The 22,585-nt window shown below is 33.9% G+C and overlaps 1 protein-coding gene across 23 annotated transcripts in view; it reads right to left on the bottom strand.

Annotated features, from left to right (window-relative positions):
* Positions 1-22,585, bottom strand: part of CD36 (CD36 molecule (CD36 blood group)) — a 77,068-nt gene that overhangs the window by 33,248 nt on the left and 21,235 nt on the right. For 4 of the 23 annotated variants that reach the window (XM_047421044.1, XM_047421045.1, NM_001371077.1 and 1 more), the window contains exon 1: positions 21,837-21,935. The exons of 7 other annotated variants lie outside the window; for them this stretch is intronic. The gene's annotated coding sequence lies outside the window, so the exon portion shown is untranslated. Of the gene's footprint in view, positions 1-7,280; positions 7,512-9,023; positions 9,196-11,121; positions 12,831-19,794; positions 19,852-21,015; positions 21,077-21,836; positions 21,936-22,585 lie in introns of those variants that run through there. 12 more of the 23 variants (XM_005250715.6, XM_024447002.2, NM_000072.3 and 9 more) reach the window with 9 other exon arrangements.

Below are 22,585 nucleotides of genomic sequence, written 5' to 3'. Positions count from 1 at the left end.
CACTCTCTAATATCACCATACTTAAAATAACTGTTAAAAGAAAGTCTAATTTTCATGAATACTGAGTTCAGGCCTGAATGGCTTGTCCTAAAAACTGTTTAAAACATGGAATTTTTAAAATAAGAGTATCTTACTTTCAGTTTTATTGATGACTTTGGATAGACTACAGGTATAAAGAATTTGAAGCAAATATAAAATGTAGAGGATGTCTTGTTTCAACCATGGCATTGCTCTCTTACTGAAGAATTTTTTCCCTACACATTCAACTACAATATAGTTTGTCATTTGCAGTTGATTCATGCTAATTCTGTTAAAATTAGGTAGTTTGTGTTAGTATATATTTGTCAATCTAATGTTTGGTGTCTTCATAAAGTATGTGATTATTATTATTTTTTGAGACGGAGTCTTTCTCTGTCACCCAGGCTGGAGTGCAGTGGCACGATCTCGGCTCACTGCAACCTCTGCCTCCTGGGTTCAAGCAATTCTCCTGACTCAGCCTCCTGTGTAGCTGGGATTACAGGTGCACGCCACCATGCCTGGTTAATTTTTGTATTTTCAGTAGAGATGGGGTTTCACCATGTTGGTCAGGCTGGTCTCGAACTCCTGACCTCGTGATCCACCCACCTCAGCCTCCCAAAGTGCTGGGATGACAGGCGTGAGCCACCATGCCCAGCCATAGTATGTGATTATTATATAAAGATTGGGAGAGCCGGGCGTGGTGGCTCACACCTGTCATCCTAGCACTTTGGAAGGCTGAGGCGGGTGGATCACCTGAGGTTGGGAGTTTGAGACCAGCCCGACCAACACAGAGAAACCCCATCTCTACTAAACATACAAAGTTAGCCGGGCTTGGTGGCACATGCTTGTAATCCCAGCTACTCCGGAGGCTGAGGCAGGAGAATCGCTTGAACCCAGGAGGCGGAGGTTGCGGTGAGCCGAGATCATGCCATTGCACTCCAGCCTGGGCAACAAGAGTGAAACTCCATCTCAAAAAAAAAAAAAAAGATTGGAAGAAAGAATACAGTTTGTGAAATGAGTGGATCCTACTGTAATAATCAGAGTTAATTCTAACTAGTATTTGAAAACACATTTATTTGAACTTCTTTGTTGTTGCAATGACATTTTGTCAATAATGGGGTTGGCGTGTCATTTATAGTCAGAATGCGCTTTATAGTTTATAAACAATTATTCTCTACTTTGAAATGCTCATGGCCAAAGAAAACATATGTGCCAACGGAATGAAGGCTACAGTCAAAAAAGGGCACATAGAATATTGTTGTTAATGTTGTAAGTGTATTAATAATTGTGGTTTGTTATAATTTCAGGTTTTCCCTCCACAGCTGTCTTGCAACAGAGGTACCACTCTTATGATTTTATTAGTATTTACTTCCACTTTAGTAATCATATAGTTTTTCAAAAATATTACCTGTAGAGCTAAGAAAAGAATAAGAAAATGATATTTTCCCCCAAAATGTAGGAATAAATGTTACAAATATTTTTCTTGGCAATTTTATTATTTACATATGTTCCCTTAACCTTTGGGATTCCCCTTTGCCTATTCCCTTATACATAGGATACTTTCCAGTATAAACCATAGGATGCAATAAACTTCATTTACATCAAGGTCTTGGTGATTAAGAAGACTGACTAGTTCTTTAGTGTCATTTTTCTCCAATGTAAAGGGAATGCACATAAGTCTAAACAAGTGATTTGTTTTTCCTGTGGAATTTTCTGTCTCACTGAGCAAGTAGGGCTGGCTTTTTATTAATTGTTCAGGGTGGAGTGGTAACAATAGCTTTCCCTGCCCTTGGAAATCGTATACCATGCTACCTCATATGGCTTTGTCCATGGCTGTCCTAATGCAATGGAATGAGTAATTTAATGCTGGTAATCAGGACTGGATATTGTCAAATAGAATTTCCTTTGCAATGCATAATTGTAAAGCACTTGAAACTTTTCTTGAAACCATCTTTTAAGCAACCACAGTAATCGCCAACTAGAGAATGTCATGCTGGTGTTCTGTATGTTGTGAACTGATAATGAGATTTAGGGTAGTTTATTAGGTACATAATATTTTATTGAATGCCCATTTCATAGACCATCCCCAAATATTTTCTGCAAGTTATACTTAACGAAGCAATTAAAATATAGCGATCCCAGCTGGTTCAATTGAGATGAAGGGACAAGATTAAACCAAAGACTGATTTGTCACTGTCTTGCTAAATGAAAGCAGACAAGCCACATAATCTCTCTACACCTCAATTTCCTCATGCGTAAAATGAGATGATAAAATGAGATCAGCATTTTTTAATTTAAGCGGCTGAACTGGTTTTTCAATTCTTACGTGGAAGTGCATTAGGTAAAATGACTGATTCCACAGCAGTTAAGAAACCCAGAGACTCTGTTTCTTAACTTTGTCTTCCTGTTCCTGCCTGACACTCTTTATCCTCACTGTTAGGAAGCTCTAGGAGAACCTCTGTAGAAACCCACAGCTTTATGAGCCCACATAAAAAATGCAGCAGGAAACCCCCAGTGTCACATTCCAGTTTTGTTAATATAGTATGAAAATCTATTTAAAACATGTATAACTCAAGGATTAAGTTATCTCTCTGGAAAAGTTATTTTATGTTCCACATAAACTTCACTAAAAATTACTCATTCAATATTAATGTCATTTGCAACTCTGACAAATGTGATACAAAATGATTTAAAATTATAACTCTATTGCTGTTAGAATAGGTATATGTGCATATATTAGCCCTTCTCCAGATTCTATGCCACAACCTAGTTGTGAATCTATCTGGCCTTTTCCCAAATCATTCTTCTTTATTCAATCAAGTAGCTCCATGCACTACAGAGAAGAGTTTCTGCAAGGGGTAAAGAGTTCCAACAGTAACCACTGAAGAAACCAGGGAGTAGTGCATGCGCTCCAATGGCTCCCTCTCTAGACCTGAAAACTGATTAGTATAACTTCTATGGACTCTGAGCCTAGATATGTTGAGCAATGGACAGGCCTGGGTACTGCCTAGCTCTGTCTGCTTTGAACTTAAAACTGAAGTGAGATAGTGTACACATCCCACTGCTGTAGAGTCACATACATTAGAAAACAGAAGTATCAAGTAATTTATTCTGTTGAATTCTATGGTTAGACAGTTCTCAATCTAACATTGGTCAGGATGATATACAAGCAAAATTACAAGTATTAATCTAACAAAACTTCAATCCATGTGCTGATATTTTGAAAAAAGAGCTAGACAAACTGAACTTGTCTATTTGTTCAAATTTTCAACTGATTGATTGCCTCTTATTACTTTAAGTTTCTACCTTTTTCCTAAGAATAGGCAAAATACGTGACACTAGTTGGGTTCATTTATTATCACTCGGTGCCTTGACACCATGAGTAATGAAGTATTGTTATTATAATCATACTCTATCCTTAAGCTGCATATGACAAAATTATAATTAGTTTTATTCACCTGAGGCAAAGGAGAACCACCCATACTACGTAAGACGTGCACCAAATACAAAAGAGAAAAGTTCATGTTAAATAGCACATGTAGTCACACAGCTTTTCCACCTATATTTATCTTCAGAGAAAGAATGTAGTTTGTCTCCACCATTCCACCAAATTTAGCTGTCTAAAGCATAAAAAAATTTGGGTTATGCTTACTCAGTTTTCTTAATAACACAACTCCTTATATATGAAAATAGGTAATTAATTTCATTTGCTAATTGTAGATTAAATTTTATTCTTTACTAATTGTTACTTGTCCTTTATAAGAAACAGACAAGATATTGATACTGTATCGGTAATAATTTACTTCCTGCTTAAAATACTTAAATTTAGAAAGCCAAGATACAGAAAACTAATTGAGACTTGTATAAAGAAGAAAGGGAAAATAAGAAGACGTGTTTTAATAGGCAACTAATTACATGCCTTTCTTGATTCTATAGGCAGCTCAGTTGCCTTCTGTCCAGTTTATAGATTATAAATCCTATTCCTTTTGTAGAATTCATGAGTGGACCCTATTCCGTTGGGTCATCTTTGAAAGAGGGAGGAAAAATATAACTTTTTTTTTTTTTTGGTTATCAGGTCAACAGTGTTTCTGTAATGAACTTTTAAGCAAAATACCCTCCCACTATATTGGGAACCCAGTAGAAACAGAGACTAAGCTTTTTGCAAAGCCTGCATTAGACTGAGATATAAGAAGCCTCTTCAGTAAACAGTTTAGAACATTAGAGCAAGTCCCCAGAGCATCTATAATTAATCCCTTGTGTTTATAAAGCTGTGTTCCCTTGGAAACTCCACCCAGAAAAGGCATGGCCCTGAAGTAACATCTGCTGGGATGTAAACTATGAAATTTGAAAAGTTTTAGATTTCCAGGGTACTTGTACCATAGACACTTGCCAGACCTAAATGACATTTTCTTACTGATCAGTAGATTGCTAAAATTTCTTTTTTTTCTATCTATAAGCCTTCCTCCCACTTTTTCTTAGGATAGAAAACCAGACCACACTCTTGTTTTCCATTCTCTTGATACAGAGAGTTTTCCTTACCTAAAAAATACAGCATCTGTCCATAAAATCTAGTTTTTGGAGGACTTGGGGGAATTCATTCAACGGTTTGCATGAGTATAGAAGTTAGTTTTTAAAATTACTTTTTTCACATTATCATAACTATGTATGTTTATAAAGACACAGTTCCCTATACATGAGTAAAAATGTAGATTCAAATTCAAGGTAGTAGAAATGGGTGTAAAACAATCATTTAACTATGATTATGTTTCATCAACATAAGGTCATTAGGTCATTCTTTATAAAATCATGTTTAGAGATAGAATTCTCCTTTCAAGGTAAATTTTATGCACAATACCAATATAAAAGATAGTTCAAAGAAGAGTTATTTGGTAAAAGAAAGGAGCAGAAACTGTGCCTCTTCCCTTTCCCAGTCACGCTTCACTTGGGCTCTGAGTCATCTCCAAAGAACCCATGGGCTCCACAAGTAATTTTCAAATAACTGGACTATGAGATCTCCAGAATCTTATCTTACTGAAATTATCTCATGTCCATTTCTATCCTATCAGAATATATGATGGTAAAAATGTAAAATAGGAAAAAACTTGATAGACATCTGTAATATAAAATAATTACATACTTCTCAAATATTGCAATTTGTAACTTGTTTTGATGGTAGTCTTTAAAAACTAATGCAATAAATACATTGGACTTTATATATTATACTTGGGATCCTTCTAGAAACAAGTCCCGTCTTTTAAAGACTTATGAACCAGGGATTACTGTAGGTTTGAAATTATTCCCTTAAGTTCATACTGACTTAAAGAGTATTATCTAGACCCATTCTTAATTTTTGAACCTTAGACAAGAATGCTAATGTCTTTTTTCCACACCCCAAATTCTACTATAAACAGACACTATAAAGTTTGTAATGCCAAAAATGCTGGACCTTGAAGCCAAGAAATGTAGATTCAGTTCTGGGTGTTAGTATTGAAGTTTGTCTGTGATACAGTTTTCTCTAAAATGAGTTTACTTACATCAAATAAGGTTGCAAGTATTAAATGAAGTAAAATAATATATATTTATATTGTAGAAAATGTTATTGTTATTTTGAAATATTACTATGAAGTATCATTTCAAACCATAACAGTAAAGTGTTATTTCATATTGGCCAAGTGTTTTAAAAATCTAATAAATGTGTATATTTTACAAAAGTAGAAATGAGTATTTGCAAAATAGTTAGATTATAATGAAATGTGATCATATATGTATGGAATTAAAATATGCAAATGGAAAGACAGCTACTAGTTTAGAACAATGCTACTTGCAAGTTTCAGACACATCTTGGGCCAGTGAACAAAAACATCTTCTGATTAGATGCAAGGATACTTACAGAATTAAGTATCTGATAGTTACAGAATTATCTTAAACTTTCCTTTTCAGGAAACACACAGGAAATACACACACATGCAGGGTTCAAATGTGTTAAAGTAAACAAGGTTAAAAAAATTCCTTAAAAAAATAGGGTGGCAACTATAACTTCCAAGGTAAATTCCAAATTCAGTACACTCTGTGCAAGTACCTCCAGTTGTAATTAATATTCTTCCCAGGCTAACCCATTATCTGATGGTTCTCTGTTTGGTTTATTGTTCTGGTTCACTAATGAGTCTGGGAAATTAAATGATTTCTACTTTAGTTCTTATTTTCTTGTAAATTCCAAAGGACCACTGGACTTTCTATATAACAAACATTTTTAAATATTTCATTTTGGCTTCCTTGTGAACCAATATTTAAAGCAATATTTTTTAGCTTCAACACACATTACTGACTTCAAACCACACAGAAAAAGACTAAAAAGTACATGCAAATCTTTACAAAACAGGTTTCAATATGCTACTTGATGATTTCAGAAACTGGGATGTACTCTAGAGAATTTATGCCATTTACAGTTATTTATAATTTTAGTTAATGTATAATTAATTTGAGGCTTTTACTTAATTCCTCCAAATTGATTTCTCCTTTACTTCAACTTGGCATCATCATCTAATAATTCAGTACTATTTGTAATAAGCTTCCTGAATCGAAAAAAAATTAACTTTATTTTTATTCTACTAATTTACACTAATTAAATTTCAGATTATTTAAAAGTAATATACTTTGCTATTCCCAGTAACAATGACAATATCTTTGTTCATTACAGAAAAGAACTTAAAAAGCACATATCCAAAATACACATTGCATTTGATCATGTAGAGCAAGTCAGGTATACCAAAAGTTGTGCAATTCAGATTGAAAATTAAACAAGCTAATGACTCTGTAAAGTAATAGTTAATAATTGCATATTAGACAACATGTTGACATAAGAGCTGTAAGTCATTTATAACATCTAACCTCATTATATTGGTCTGCAGTATAATGATCTTCATCATTTAAACATCATGTATAAATAGCCTAAGTATAAAATGAAAGTTTTATAATAATCCAAATTGGATTATAAATCACTTTAAATATTAACTTATACATACGACATGAAATGCCATTGGGTATGGTTTAAGCATAAAATATAGGAAGGTTGATAACTTGAAAATAATGCAAACCTGATTTTTAGATAAAGCCTAGTGACTAAGAAAACAGTTACTACCTTTTTTCCTGTCCTCCTATATAACTTCTTAGGAGTATTTATACAGTAGTGTCACCTCCCGTCATCTGGGTGATGGGAAAAATCCCTTAATCTTTTTTATTTAAAGAAAAATCATACAACTTACCTTTAAAATGGCTAAGAAGGATTTTTCAATCAAATGCTCCAACATTTGGACAATTCTTAATAGGATCAAATGGTATTCTGCAGGAAAGTCCTACACTGCAGTCCTCAGTACATAAATGCGTGAGAGTTTAAATATGCAACCACACCCCCTCCCCCCCCCAAAAAAAGAGAAGAGAAAGCACTCTACAGTGTCAGATCCCAGTGTGTGGTTTGTTGCCAGAGGAATTGAAAGAAAAAAAAAATCCCCCACACAGCACATTACTGATATGGCTAATAAGGGTCTATTTTTATGTTCTGGTGAAGACCCATTACCTATATCTGAGATATTCAGCATTTTTTTTTTTTTTGGCTATTTCCCATCCAAGTAAGTCAGAGGCCAGAAAAACAAAAGGAACTGACTTGCTGAGTTTCCCCTAACATATTCTCAGATGCTGAACTGAGACCGCTGGTGGAAATAGTAAATTTGGAAGAATAATCATATTCTCACTTCCCTGTCTTGACTGAGCTTGCGAAACTTATTTTATTAAGTTTAAATTTAATGTACTTTTTTATACAGCGTAATTCTGAAATACTGTGAGACTAATAATTCTGAAAACAATTGGAGACTGTCAATCAGCAAGGATGACAAACTGACTTAAAAAAAGGAAACAGCCTATTGTTCTAGCTGGAAGTTCTTAACTGTTTATCATTTTCTGTTAGTTTTGCAAAAATTTCATGATCACAGCACAGTGCTCCTACAAAAAATAAACTCTTTAAATTTCTTCAACCAAAATATGTCTAAGTAGAATTACTATTGAGGATAATCTTTAGTACTTAAGTCACTTTCAAAAAAAAAAAAAGCATTATGTTGATATTGAATCAAAATAGAAGGCCTTGCACTTTGGGGAAAGAACCTTCACTATCAAGACCCTGTTCTTATAAAGAAATTCTCAGAATCATACAGGAAAACCTTCACAGGGTTAACCTGGCATGTATTTGATAGGAGAGCTGGATAAATGCATTCAAACAACCTTAGAAGTAAAGTAACCTAAGAATACCAGACAGAAATATATTTAGTTCATTAGGTCATATTTAAACCAGTCCTTAAGTTAGAATGCTCGTGCTGTCCTTTTTGGGCATGTGAGGCACACAACGAATCCTTTCATTTGCAAGCAGTGCCATACAACTGAAAAAAAAAACCCCAAACACTCTTTTCTCCTCAAGAATTTTTTTTCCCCAGGGAAGTTTTTACTGACATATTTATTTAAAAAATAAGTCATAAAAATATTGTAAGTCTATTACTTTTTTTTCAAATCTCAGACCACTTAATTAGGATAAAGTAGAAATGACCATGTGCAATCTCTTTATAATTTATGCTTTCAGTTAGAAAAGAATAACTCACAGTGATTTCATGAAACTTAAGAAGGTAATTCCCTTAAATAACTGCGACCTTTTATCTTGGTGGCACGATATAAAATGGTAGTATAAAGACATATTATTTTGGTTAAGAATATCTATTTTGTAGATAGCTGTTTTGTATTTAAGCTAATTTATTTCTCAACCTTAATTCTCACACACTCACACTCTAATATGACAATTCAGAAAAAGATTACCAACGAAAGGGTTCAGATAAGACCTGTTTAAAAGAGCATATTTTAAAGATATTAAAAGACTAAAGTATAATGAAAATATGATCGCAATTAGAGAAAGATTATTTCAGAAAAAATACATGCAAAATAGATGCCTAAGTTGACATTAAACTTACTTGGGTATTATTTAATCAGTAGCCTAATGCCATTCAAATCTGCTGTCACTGGAGAGGAAAATGTCACAGAGTCCCATGAGCAGTCCAAAGAATCAAATTTACATTCCCAGAGACAGCTGTTAAGTGTTCAATCCCATAGACAACAGTTCCTGAGTAGCTTAGCATACAAGATCTGAAAGCACACAGCTGAGTCAAATCTGCAACTGTGGATTTTTAGAAAAATATAGACCTTAAACAATAACATAGCAAAATGCTGTACCCATTTTAAAGTAAAGAGTGTTGGGGTTTTCATTTTTTTAAAGACTATGCACCCACCATATTTTGAAGGGATGTGTTTTATGTGAGCATATACCTTGCTTTATGTAAATCCACTATAACACTGGATTAATTTATTAGAATGACAGGATATAATTTTCAATCTACTTCAGTCAGTTTAGACAATTCTTTGGAAATTCTTTTTTTTTTTTTTTTGCAAGAGATCACATAGGGTTAGAAATTGGAAGGATGTAAGTTTAAATCCTCAGGCTACCGGGCCCTAGTTATATTGACTTGTAATTGGAAGTTAACTGCTTGTTCTTCTTTTTCCAGATTTATCAAGGTATGAATCATTTTGACATGTGTATACACTGTAAAATGATTGCCATAATCAAGTTAATTAACATTCATTGCTCTCATTTTCATAATCAAAGAATAGAGAAAACTAAATAAAAGAGTAATAATAAGAGCTAAGAGATGAGTAGTGTACAATACTTGACAGGAGCCTGAAAATTTCTAGGCACTCAACACTCCCCATTTCATCACCCCCACTTCCTACAAGCCTCCTCCCCTCTCCGTTCTCTGCTTTATTTTCCACAGGTCACTTATCACCATCGAAGAAATTCTGCCAATTGACTTTTGTTTTTGCCCTGTCTTTGCACCTGCTAGAATGTTGGGTTTTTGCAGAGGGGGATGCTTGTCTGTTTAATTCACCACTGAACTTTGCACCTGCCTTTGCACTTGCTAGAATGTTGCGTTTTTGAGGAGGGGGATGCTTGTCTGTTTAATTCACCACTGAACCCCTATAGTACAGAATAAGCTCATAGTTGGTAATAAGTTGAATAAACAGACACACACAAGACTATTATAACCATCATAATGCTTTACAAGTAGTGAGAATGAGTGGAAATGAGAGACTATTATGCTGCTTCTTCATACCATGGATATGTAATGGTTTGATTCAGATTAAGAACATCTGCTAGGAAAATGAATGGAATCCGAGTCTGAATTTGGAATTCATCACTTCCTAAGTGTATGACTTATTGCTAACTACTTTACCTCTCTTAAACATGGTAGAAATATCTCCCTCACAGAATTGCTGTCAAGATTAAAAGTGATAATATGAAGGATTTAGCACAGAGCCTGACATAGTTTTTGTTTAACAAATAATTGTGGCTGGGCTTGGTGGCTCACACCTGTAATCCCAGCACTTTGGGAGGCTGAGGTGGGCGGATCACTTGAGGTCAGGAGTTCGAGAGTAGCTTGACCAACATGGTGAAACCTCCTCTCTACTAAAAATACAAAAATTAGCCAGGTGTGGTGGTGCATGCCTGTAATCCCAACTACTCAGGAGGCTGAGACAGGAAAATCGCTTGAACCTGGGAGGCGGAGGTTTGCAGTGAGCTAAGATTGTGCCACTATACTCCAGCCTGGGCAATAGAGTGAGACTCTGTCTCAAAAAACAAAAACAACAACAAATAATTGCATGGCCATCACTGGCTATCACGCACAATTTTATTTTAGAAAATGTATTAAGTATGGAGAGAAAGCAATATTGAAAATTATAGAAAAGTGTACAATGAGAGGCCTCAATCCCCAATTGTATTCCTCAGAAGTAACAAATGTTAAGTGTGTGTTAACCTTCCCCCAGTAATTTTATAATTTTCTAAAGTATATTAGCCATTTTTATTTTAAAACATTTGTAACAATATCCTTTTCACCTTTTTTTCCATAAATTGCTTTGTCCCTTTCTTAATAATTAGTAGGAAAATAGTCTTTGGACATTTGACAATTTTTTTTTAATTTGACAATTTTTACTTTTCTGTTTGTATGTGTAACTTACAGAAATGTTTACATTTTTATTCCATAAACTTTGAGTCATTTCCTTTTGAGGATTGTATCATGCTTTGAAAGCCTTTATCCACTTTGAGCATACTAAAAAAAAAATAAACTTTCTTTTAGCATTTGTATAGTTAAAAAAAATCCTTTTAACAGTACTTTTGGACAAGCTGATTCATGGAATGTAACACTTGTGAAATAAAAGAGGAAGAGTACAGTAAGTTGAGTAACAAATATTGCAACATATTTGAGAAGCAAATGACAGATGGGTAACAAGAGTTCTGGAAGAGGAATCACATGGCCCGTGTGATTCCTTTATTAGCAATAGGATTTGTGAACTAGGCAAGACGTAATAATCATTGTATTCCTGTTGTCCTTTCTTGTTAAATGGGATAACCTATAAAGTCTACCTACCTTTAAGCTGAAGATCAGATAGTAGATTTAAACTTTAAAATGTAAGGCTATATGCAGATACAAGAATATCTTATAGTAGTAGATACCATTTAAAAGAAAACTAAGCGATTTTTTTTAACAGTTCAGCAAATGAAAAGAAGCATTTTAGTATAACTTGCATTGTAATTCTAGATTGAATGGGTGAACAAAGACTTGAAGAGCAAAGAACAATGAAGATGATCATACAATAACATAGTCAACACATAGTAGGAGCTTACTACCTGCCAGGTGTGGAGCTAAGTATTTCACATGTATTACCTTGCTGAATAATCATCTCTCCTTACTAGGCTCTTTAGATGACTAGCTGAGTTCACACAGCTAGTACTTGGCAGAACAAGGGCTGGAACCCAAACTGACTGACTGAAGGGCCTATACTCTTTTCTTCAAAGAAAAAAAAAGATACATTTATCCTTGATCAAAATCTAATTTTACATATTTTTCTCAAAATCTTTGCACAAGTTGAATAATTTTAACCTGATATTACATTAAGAGCAAAATAATGTCTAGACACAATAGAAAATGAACAGTGAACATATGTAGGTGGCAATCAACAGAATTATTTTAGATTAAATAAAACATAAAATTTCATTCTATTGACCTATGAACTATCTCATAACATTAGTTACCAATGTAAAACCAGGCAACATTTATTTTATCACTTTAATCTTTAGGGAATACTAATCATGGAAATGTATACATACATACATTTAGGCATACACACACTTATGCTTATATATGTATAATAGATGAACATTTTTCAGTTGCCAGCTCGTCACTTATAGAAGTATTAAAGTATTAGTATGTTCTAACTGCTTTATAAGTTGAGGAAGGACTTCACATGCAGTAATAAAAAATATCTATGTAATTTGAATATTAAATTGCAAAAGACAAGAGCATCATGTAATGCTAGTGAAATGCTGAGACTGAAATGGAGATTTCTAATATCACCTTTAAAAGAAAATTTCCAGAAAATTATTAAAGGTGAAATTCCGAATATCAGAGTAACTTAGTTTAGACTTAAACCACATGGCCTAATGAATCAAAAGTCAGGATAAAAACAAACATACTGCATTAAAAGTAGAAAATAATCTTACCTATAGGTTTAATAGAAGTCATGCTTGTAACAGATTAAAGAGAGCACTTCTGTATATGTAGGTAGTTCTCATGTGGGCATGGCCAAATCATTATGTAAATTTTACAGGCCATCTAAAAATGTTGGCAGACCTAATTCTTACTTGAACAGCTTGCAAAAACAATTCTCTAAGTAGGAAAAAAAATTAGTCAACATTTAAATGATGGTAAGAAACATAAGGAAATGCCATGATCAGCATAGTTAGGTAAACTGTGTTCATAGAGTAGATAGGAAATTATTCGAGGAAAAAACAGAAACATTTAGGCAAAAGAATAACTAGGTCTCAAAGCATGGTGTGATGAAATAGCAGGAAAAAAATCAATAATTCATAGCCAAAACAAGCATTTAGTTGATGAGCACCTAGTTTTTTAAACGTTGAGAAAAAAATAGCAATTAATGAATTTTGAATTTTTACCGGGCAGAAAGAAAAAATTCATTGTCATTAAGGGTACCACAAATTTTAGTTCTGAGAAATATTATAATAGCCCTGGATTAAAAAGGTGGTCCCTAAAGTGGAGTCTTTAAAATAAAATAAATAATTTTGAGAAGGTTCAGAGAAATAATTTAACTTTGCATTGGCTCTAGGCTTGGCCATAATGATGTGTTTTAAAATGCTAAAATATTAGGTTTTTCTTATTTTGTTTAAACCATAAAAAATTGATCAGCATGATGAATATCTTAAAACAGAAAAATATAAAGAAATCAGATGAAGGATGACATAAAATGATTTTTTGTTCCATTTAATAAATAAACACACTAAACCACGCTGGCAAATCTATCTTTTAAAAAATTATATTGACATCTGCACCAGCTGATCATCTGTTACCTCAAGTTTAAAGATACAGAACACTTGGGCATTAGCTTCCTAAAAGACTGAAATACATATGCAGATATGCATGTGTATACACACACAAACGTTTTCCAGGAACACAGAAGCATGCCTGATTACATTTTTTTAAAGCTTGTGGGGTGAAGTTTCTAAGAAGCATACAAAAATAATTTAAAAGAAACACAGGAAATAATACATCTGTGATACCATTCTTGTTCTGTTTTTTTTTTTTTTTAAATGGAGAAGTGATCATTCTGCCCTGAGACTTCACAGAATTATTTGGCACAAACCCTGCACTTGAGTGGCACAGCAGCTTCTGCTAATAATTTCAAAGGAATATAAAACAATCTATCAAATCCTATAGTGAAATCATAACATCATTTTCCAGGTTGGTTCTCAAAAACCTTAAGGGAAGGTTTTGCTCTCGGACAAGCTTCAGTTTTCTGAAGCTCTTCCAAGAGACCAACAGGTTTAGTTTGGAGTGCTACTTCTCAAATGAATACCTTGCAATAACTTGACACATATTCTTAAGATTTCTAAGCATCTATAGAATTAACAGTGGGAACATCTTACACTAAATGCATTTTTGGTTTTAACAAAGCATTATACAATACTTTGTAAAAAACAAATACAAATATGTGTGTTTTGTACATTATTTATATCATTTATGTATATATATAAAATATATATAAAACTTCCAGAAATGTTTTTCTGGAAATGTTATGAATTATTTAAATCACTTTGTTTATATCATGTTTACATGAGTATATTCTAGAAAATATTAGAATTCAGATAATGAAAAGTGGCAGACTACTATTCTATAATACATAAGACAAATATCTTAGAACTTCAGAATCATTCTAAAACACTGAAACCCTTCAACTGTCCTGTATGTGTCTTTGTGATAGCTGGTTATCTTCTTGAAATAAAAAAAAAAAAATTGCAAACTTATCAGCAGTAGAGTAAAACCTTCACTTTGGAATTTCCACATTTAAACTTTGAATAATAGAGAAGTCTAACTTACCTATTAAACTTCATTTTAGCCCTGAAACTTAAGTAGCAGCATTTAAAATTTGCTTCACATTATGGAGCAGTTACAATGGACTTGATAAAATACTTTACCTTGTGGTTATGCAGAAAGAAATCTTTCATCCTTCTAACTCTCCTATGTAGGTTTAGTTATCATGAGCCCTGCCTTTATGAAAGTGTCTATCATCCTCATTGTTCTCCAGCAAACAACGAAGGACTCAAACATATTTACTGTGATCATCCCATTTCAGATTCTGAATGTCACTTTTCTTTTGTATTCTGGGGTTGTGAATTAAGTAAACAATAGTAGGTATGGAATCTTAATTGCTACAGAATGTCACTCTCAAAAGACACCACTAGCCCTGCTACTTTTGCACTGCTCAATTTGCACTTAGATCCTCAGAGACTTCTCGGACACGATGTTTTGTTGGTTTTTGGAGCCCAAGGTCTCTCAGCTGTGTTATGTAGGTATGCAAACTGTTCTATTCTACAGTGCCCCAGTTCATGGGTGAAGATAATAAATCTAAACTGAAATGTTTATGTTTTCTATGTTTCGGCATACTCTGCAATTCTCCTGTTGTTAACCACACTGTGCTTTCGTGTTCAGAGTGAATACTCTAAGCGTATTTATTTTCCCAAGCTGCATTTACAAGGCTTGGAGTGGCATCCTCCATGTAATGTATTCCAAGGACTAAGAACATTTTCTGGACTTGATCCAAGATCATTGCTAGGCCTGTTTTCCTCTCATTTTCAACAACCCCTCCGGGAAAATTGGGTAATCAAAATAGGCAGGAGGAAAGGAGCCTGCAGTGAACAAAAATTTGAGGTGAAATAAATCCATAAAAACATGGAAACCACACCATTTCTGGAATCCCAAATTAAAAGCATCAAGTACTTCCCATGCTATAGAGAAGCACATCCCAAAAGATTGATTTTTATAATAAGCTTTCAGTATAGACTTTTCTCTTAATTTTTTCTTCTTTGATTATCCTACATTTGTCTGTTCTGTTGATTTTTGGCTATTTGACATCTCATTTTTATCTTAATTTTCTTTCAAAATGGTACCTGGTTTTAGGTATGTAAATTTGTAACTGTCTCCAAATCAACTTCATACAATTCCACAAAGAAAAACACAAATATCTCTAAATTAGAAGAAACTGTAAGTTCATTAGCTCTTCTACTCCTTTTAAGGATGTGCTCACTTTATCCACTTAACAGATCCTTGTTTTGATGGGCATACCACCCCGATGACAGTTTGACACACAATGATGGGTCTGCAAATATCATCAAAAAATATTTCAGCCAAAACTAAACCTTATTCTGCTACTTAGTCTCTTAACCTCACATTTAGCACCCTAAGTATTAAATATTTTAATTCTTCAAACTATTAAAATTCAAAAAATGAAGATGAAACTTGTGCTATTTACTAATTTTTCCCTGGCTTATCTGCCATGTCATCTAGGTTAGGTGAAAAATAAAAGAAATATAGCAGTGGTTTTCTTTCTAAGTCTTTTGATGCAAATTAATTACCTAGAATACTTTTTTTCATGATACCAAAAAAAAAAAAAGGCTACTATTGAATTTATCAGTCTCCAGACAATCTAGGTGAATAAGATTTAAACTAAAAATAGGCAATTTTTATTTTAGAATAATCCAATACATGAGTGTTAAGGTGTATGTTGAGGGATTTGCTTCTATTTCTACACATGAAGAACAATGAATAAATCTGACAAAATTGAGCCATCTCAGTTAACTGAATTATAACCTCTAAGGGCTAATTCAATATGCTTAAGTATTTTCCAGAGGAAAGAAAGCAACATTTCAAGACTTCACAACTCCACATCTATAATTCATCTTGTGTAGTGAGGAGTACCTTGTTTTCCAGAAAGTCTTGCTTGGCTGGTTAGTTTCCAGAGATGCCCTTTAACACTAAGTTCAGAGGGAAAGATTCGAAAGTTTCTCCATATGTTGATGTGGAGCTATTAATGTGGTATTGCCTCTAAAAATGTCAAGGTACTATTTAATATTCTCATTTAATTAAATAGAGAGTGTTATAGGACATACATTTGCCCAGAACTCATGAAAATGTGCTCCTTTGTTGAACAGCAGTGGGAATGATTTTTCTATCATCATCTATTCTCTATTCCAATCCCCACTGCTTATGTATAAGGAGGAAGCCTACAGCCATGCTGCTGGAGGCCCTCTTACAACCTCAAGGAAAGCCAGCCTGTGTCAAACCTACCATCCAAATAAGGAGAGAGCAGAGAAAGTTAAGAAGAGCCAGCAATCTGATCCACCTGTGCCGGAAGAGTGCTAACACTGGAGTTTTCAATTCTGTGGGCAAACCTGTCCTCCTATTGATTCAGCTAATTTAGGTTTGTGAAGGGAGAATAAATCTTGGGACCCCAAAATCACTAAGCTAAAAGAAAAAGTCAATCTAGGAACTGCTTAGGGCAAACCTGCCTCCCATTCTATTCAAAGTCATTCCTCTGCTCGCTGAGATAAAAGCTTATCTGATTGCCTTCTTTGGAGAAGCTAGTCAGAAACTCAAAAGAGTGCAACCATTTGTATCTTATCTACCTATGACCTGGGACCCCCTGCCAACTTTGAGTTGTCCTGTGTTTGCTTTGTGTTGTCTCACCTTTCCAGACTGAATCCATGTTCATCTTACATATGTTGATTGATGTCTCAGGTCTTCCTAAAATGCATAAAACCAAACTGTGCTCTGACTACCGTGGGTAGATGGGATTAAATTAACTGGGATCTGTCTTAGGTATTTGGGGTTCACAGGTTGAAAGCACCCAAGCTGATACCTTGTGATTCTATTTAAAACATAGGCATTAGATCACAGGTATTTTTAATAAACTAAAACACTTAATCAAACTTCTAGCTCATGAGTGCAGTCAAGAAACATGGCTTAACCAGGTCTCTTAAAGGAGGAGAAAAAAAGTGTTTCTGCAATATGGTTTTCTACACTCTATGTAACAAATATAGATATTAATATAACATGAAGCACATATACCATGTGACTGTATTTTACTCATTTATATAGCTTTAGAATATTTTAGTGTTCCACTTATAGAAAGGATTCCAAAATAGCTCAATTCATCATCTGTTCATTCATAAGTAGCAAGAGAGTAGGTCACAATGAAACTCCCTATAACATATTACCAGGAATCATGCTGGTAGTGTTTAGCATTATATTCCAGAGTTTTAAATAGTGCCTGATACCTAATAGGTGCTCAAATTTTTTTTATTTGATGCTGAATAAACAGTAACTCTATGTATCACAGCATAGATTTTTAAAAGAAATGCATGTATATGTTAAATACTTTTGTAGGAGAGGAAGTACCTTTGTTTATTCCAGTATCTGATCAAGTTTAAATGCACTGATGATTTTCCAGATGTGCGTTTTTTTATGTTTAATAGACATCATGCATGTAATGGAATAAAGAACAGATGTACTCTTTTTTAAGCAAAAATCTCAAGTAGCAAACAGGTAAATAGTTTGATTATTCCACATTAGAAAATATTCTTATAAAGGGATTTAATTCTTCCCTTTCACAGGTATTTATTAACTATAATACAAGAATGAATGACATGCTTCTACACAATGAGCTTTTCCCAAATATTTTAAATGATGCAATGTACCAGTTGTGTTTATGTATCCATTGGCAGAAACAGACATATTGATTAAAATAAAGTTTTGTAAAATGTATTAAAATAATTCAGTCACACCAAAAAGCATGATTAAACACTAAATGTGTATCATGAAATAGTTGTATTGTTTTGCTTTTGCCTGTTGAAAATCCTCTCCAAGTCTTCTGAATATTTGTACTCTACCACCTAATTTTTTTTTACATGCCAATCTACTATCTCCTTAAAGGCTAACACACATGATCCCTTGATAAGAGTTTGATTCCTTTGGGTTGTTTAGTGTTCTGGACTGCTCATTTATTCTGTTAAAGAGCAGTGGGTCTGTAGTCTAAGTGAAAAAAAAAAAGCCCCTCTTTTAAGGGAGGGGGTCAATATGGTGTACTAATTGGAGGCTTAAGCAAGGACCCCTGGGAATTGGCTTTTCTGTTCCAATGAGAATTAATTCCAAGAAAATAACCTAAGTTCTCTCTTTGTACTTGTTTCCGTCTGTGAGATGAGACATATCGTCAACCACAGGGGCATAGCCTAGTTGAACTGATGTACTAGAGGATTCAAAAATAACTTCATCATTTGCAGAATTACAAGGCAATGGATAAAATATAAAGAAAAAATTTAAAATATAATCAAATGTAGCATTGTCCTGTAAAAACCTGAGTCAGACTGATTCTTTCAATCTCAAGAGAACCTTTAATATGATGAAGTCTTAAGTATCAAAACAAAATGCATAAATGCCAAAACCCAGGAGAAAAGGACAGTAAATAGAACCTTGTAATAGTCTGTCTCAGGAGAGAATGCTGGCTCTGCTTCTGCTATTGACTGTGATAAAAACAAAAAGTTGGAATCAATAGGGAGATAAGATGAATGCAATACTTACATATGAAGAGGTACAGAGAAGATTGTAGTTTATATACAGTGTAAAACAATAGAACTCGTTAGCATGTAAAACAACAGAACCTAAAAGCATGACTAAAATCAGAAAGGGCAAAATTTTTGTAAATGTACTACAGGGAACAAATACTCAAACAAAGGTTGAGAATATGTTCCCTAATGTCTTTCCCACAATTGCAAAAATGTACTTTTCAAGTAAAGTGGTTTTCTAATACATTTGTGTATCAGATTACATGGTATATTAAGACATAAGATTTTAAAAATACATAATACTGTAAAATCTTACAATTATATATGAAGTTTGTAATGTAAAACAAAATTATTAAATTATACTATACATACATAAATTTATCTATTAATTGGATAGAAGTATTAAAGCTAAATTTGCAGACCATTTTTATTGGCACATAGATAATAGACTGTACTAGTTTTGTTTTCTCATGCTTTAAATATAGTACAAATCATAAATCACATTCTGTAGATTTAAGCTAAGGCAATGGCCTGGTAACCGGCAGACAGTGTAAATTGGAAATCTAAAAATACATTCAGAATTTAAGCTTCATTTTCATGTAGTTCTCGACCATTATAAATCATAATTTATTATTTTCAAAATTTGATAAATATTTAGCTCAATAGTGTAAATAATATAAATACTAGTATGATAGAAGAACTTATCTGAATATTCTTACCAGCAAAATATGGAGATTTGCCACAATGCCAGCTAAGTTAGTTTTGCAGTCACTAATAAATTGGGTTGCCATAGCAAGCCCATAGTCGCTGAGTTTCTAAGCAACCTGAGACTCCACAGACTGCAGATAGTTAGGAGTCCACTGATCTTTCATCATCCCTTAAGGAAAAATACAAAAATTTGTGCTACCAAACTCAATGGCAGATCCCCTGATTACCCAGGAGAACAGTGATTTCTGTAAAATACCCCCCTGTATTGATACTCATTTAATTTATTGAATAATAATATTTGTCCTGGGGAATTATTGGATTATTCGCAGTGCTAAGTGGATGAAGTTAGTTACAGAAAATGGTCAGTGCCTGGTATGTATTGGGCAGACAAATATTTGTTGAATCAATGAACAAAATGCAATATATCATCCAATTCTTTAGAGACAGTCATTTACATAATACTAGCCTTCATAAATTCCTTGCCTTTTCATATAAACATATATCTGTTTAGTAGCATTACTATACAGTACATCACTTCAATTTCTTTATTTCTAATTATTGTAGCATAGGTAACGTGGGTAATTATAAATCAGTAATTCTTTGAGGTCTTCTGTTGAAATATTTAATCACAGCTTGTCTAGAATACTTGAGTCACAATACTAGCCATCCAAATGACAAATAGAATTGCACAGATCTGAAATACAAGCAAGGTTATGATTTTTTGAATGAGCATGCATTAGCATTTCATATCTATAAACACCTTCTTCAGTCCCTTATCTTCACACAATGCCCACTGCGGCAAACCATGGCCTCCTGTACTCTCTTTTAATACATCAGGCTCAGTTTCCAACTGTTTTAGATCATCACAACAAAGTTAAGGCATAGTTTGTTTCTATAGAACAATGTATCACAATACAAGTCCAAATAAAATGTAACCAATAGAAATAATCATGTGTGACCAGCAAAACAATTATACCTGTAATCTGTAAAATTTTAGCTAGTTCCAGTACCCCCCATTTTTCTATATTTCCCAGTATCATTCCGTGTAGCTAATTCTTACCATGGAAAACATGTTAGAAATGGTTTGCAAATTGAAAACTGTCTTTAATGGCTAATTTTTTAAAACACTACTTCATATATCCTATTGGCTGTTGTAACAAAGATTCACTAGCCCAAGCCAATACAATGACTAAATTATCTAACCTGAAAGTAAAATAAATGTTCAAAGTCACCTCTCAAACAAGTCACAGTAGTCACTGTGACCATGCCAGGAATGCCAGCAGCAGAGACTGCGTGTGACCTCTACTTGTCACTATTGAACATCAAAAGCAGGGGAGGATAGATTCTGCTTGCTCCAACATTGAGAAGTCAACCACTCTGTCTTACAATATTAATATAAGAGAATCTAAATTTTTATAATCATATTCATTATAATACATCTTTGGCTAAAAAATGACTATCTATAACTTAACAGTCTTCCTAGGGTATACTAGGAAGTATATCCTACTATTGTATTACTGTATTTTTGGTAGAGACAGGAGACAGGGTTTTGCTGTGTTTTCCAGGCTGGTCTTGAACTCCTGGCCTCAAAGTGCTGGGATGACCATGTCTGGCAGGATATATATATTCCTAAGAATAAAAGATGGCTACACACGAATTTGCCCTATTAAGATATTCCTCCACTGTTGCATGCATATAAGCATGTGTATATTGGAGCACTTAGATTATTTCAAATATTTTTGAATGCCTTCTTACCACTTATTAACATAACAATTACTGAGAACTCATAGTAAAAATCATTTGACTTATCCCTCTACTTTCTTTTAGATACAACTTCTTATTTAAAAGTTTGAAACAGGCTGCCTAAATGCCTACAATACTCCATAAATTCTACGCCCTGAGAGAAGAGAGAGAAATGCAAATATATATTAAACTGGACAAGAACAAAGCAAAAGTCAGATCAAAGTAGGAAATTTTAAGTATTGCAAGCAAAGTGTGAAATCTTACATATTTAGATTAGGTAACTTTACTGTGATTACACAGGCATAATTACCATTAGAAGTCCGATGAAAGAGCACAAGGCCACAAATGTTAATGCACTTTCAGAATGCTAGTTGGGAAGACCAGGGAATTAACACCGAAGACTCTGGTTGTGTTTGCCCCAAGTGCTGGGTCAAATCACTGCTGTACATCAGTCAGTCCCACCTCCTAGTGTCGAAGAATGGCTGTGGAATTTTGATTGACACTCCTGTGAGACAGTGGTATTCCTAAACCAAAGTAAATCTTGCAGCCAGTGTTTGTTAACCTCTCCAGCTTAAAAATGAGCTGCTCTTCACCCTGGTTCCTTCCTTTAAAAAAAGAAACAATTACTCTGTGATGTCTAAAAGCACACAGAAACAGTCCCCTCTCCAGGGATATCCCTACTTTCTCATAGTAATTCCCTTGATTCATTCCATCCTTTGTCTTTGTTAGAGGACTTTACAGTCCTCCTAGGAACCACATAACAACATGTATCCTGGTCTGGGAGAAGAAACAAAGCATCAGTGAATATTCCAGTTTGTGGAAAGCTGGAGATGAGGGCAACCTTGGGCAGGGCCCAGCAAGACTAACAAGTTCAGGCTTATAATAGCTGTTTATTTTGCAATATGAAAGAATTAAGCAATATTTGATGGGTACAATATTGTATATGCAACACAAATCAAATAAATTAAAACAAAAATAAATACACCCTAAAAATAAGAATTACAGTATATGCTAAATGAGACCAAAAATATGGCTTTTTCCCAGAACACTTAAGGCAGT

This window comes from Homo sapiens, chromosome 7 (genome assembly GCF_000001405.40).
Source record: "Homo sapiens chromosome 7, GRCh38.p14 Primary Assembly".
In the NCBI taxonomy this organism is placed as follows: Eukaryota; Metazoa; Chordata; class Mammalia; order Primates; family Hominidae; genus Homo; species Homo sapiens.
This window is presented reverse-complemented; position numbering and strand designations above follow the sequence as displayed.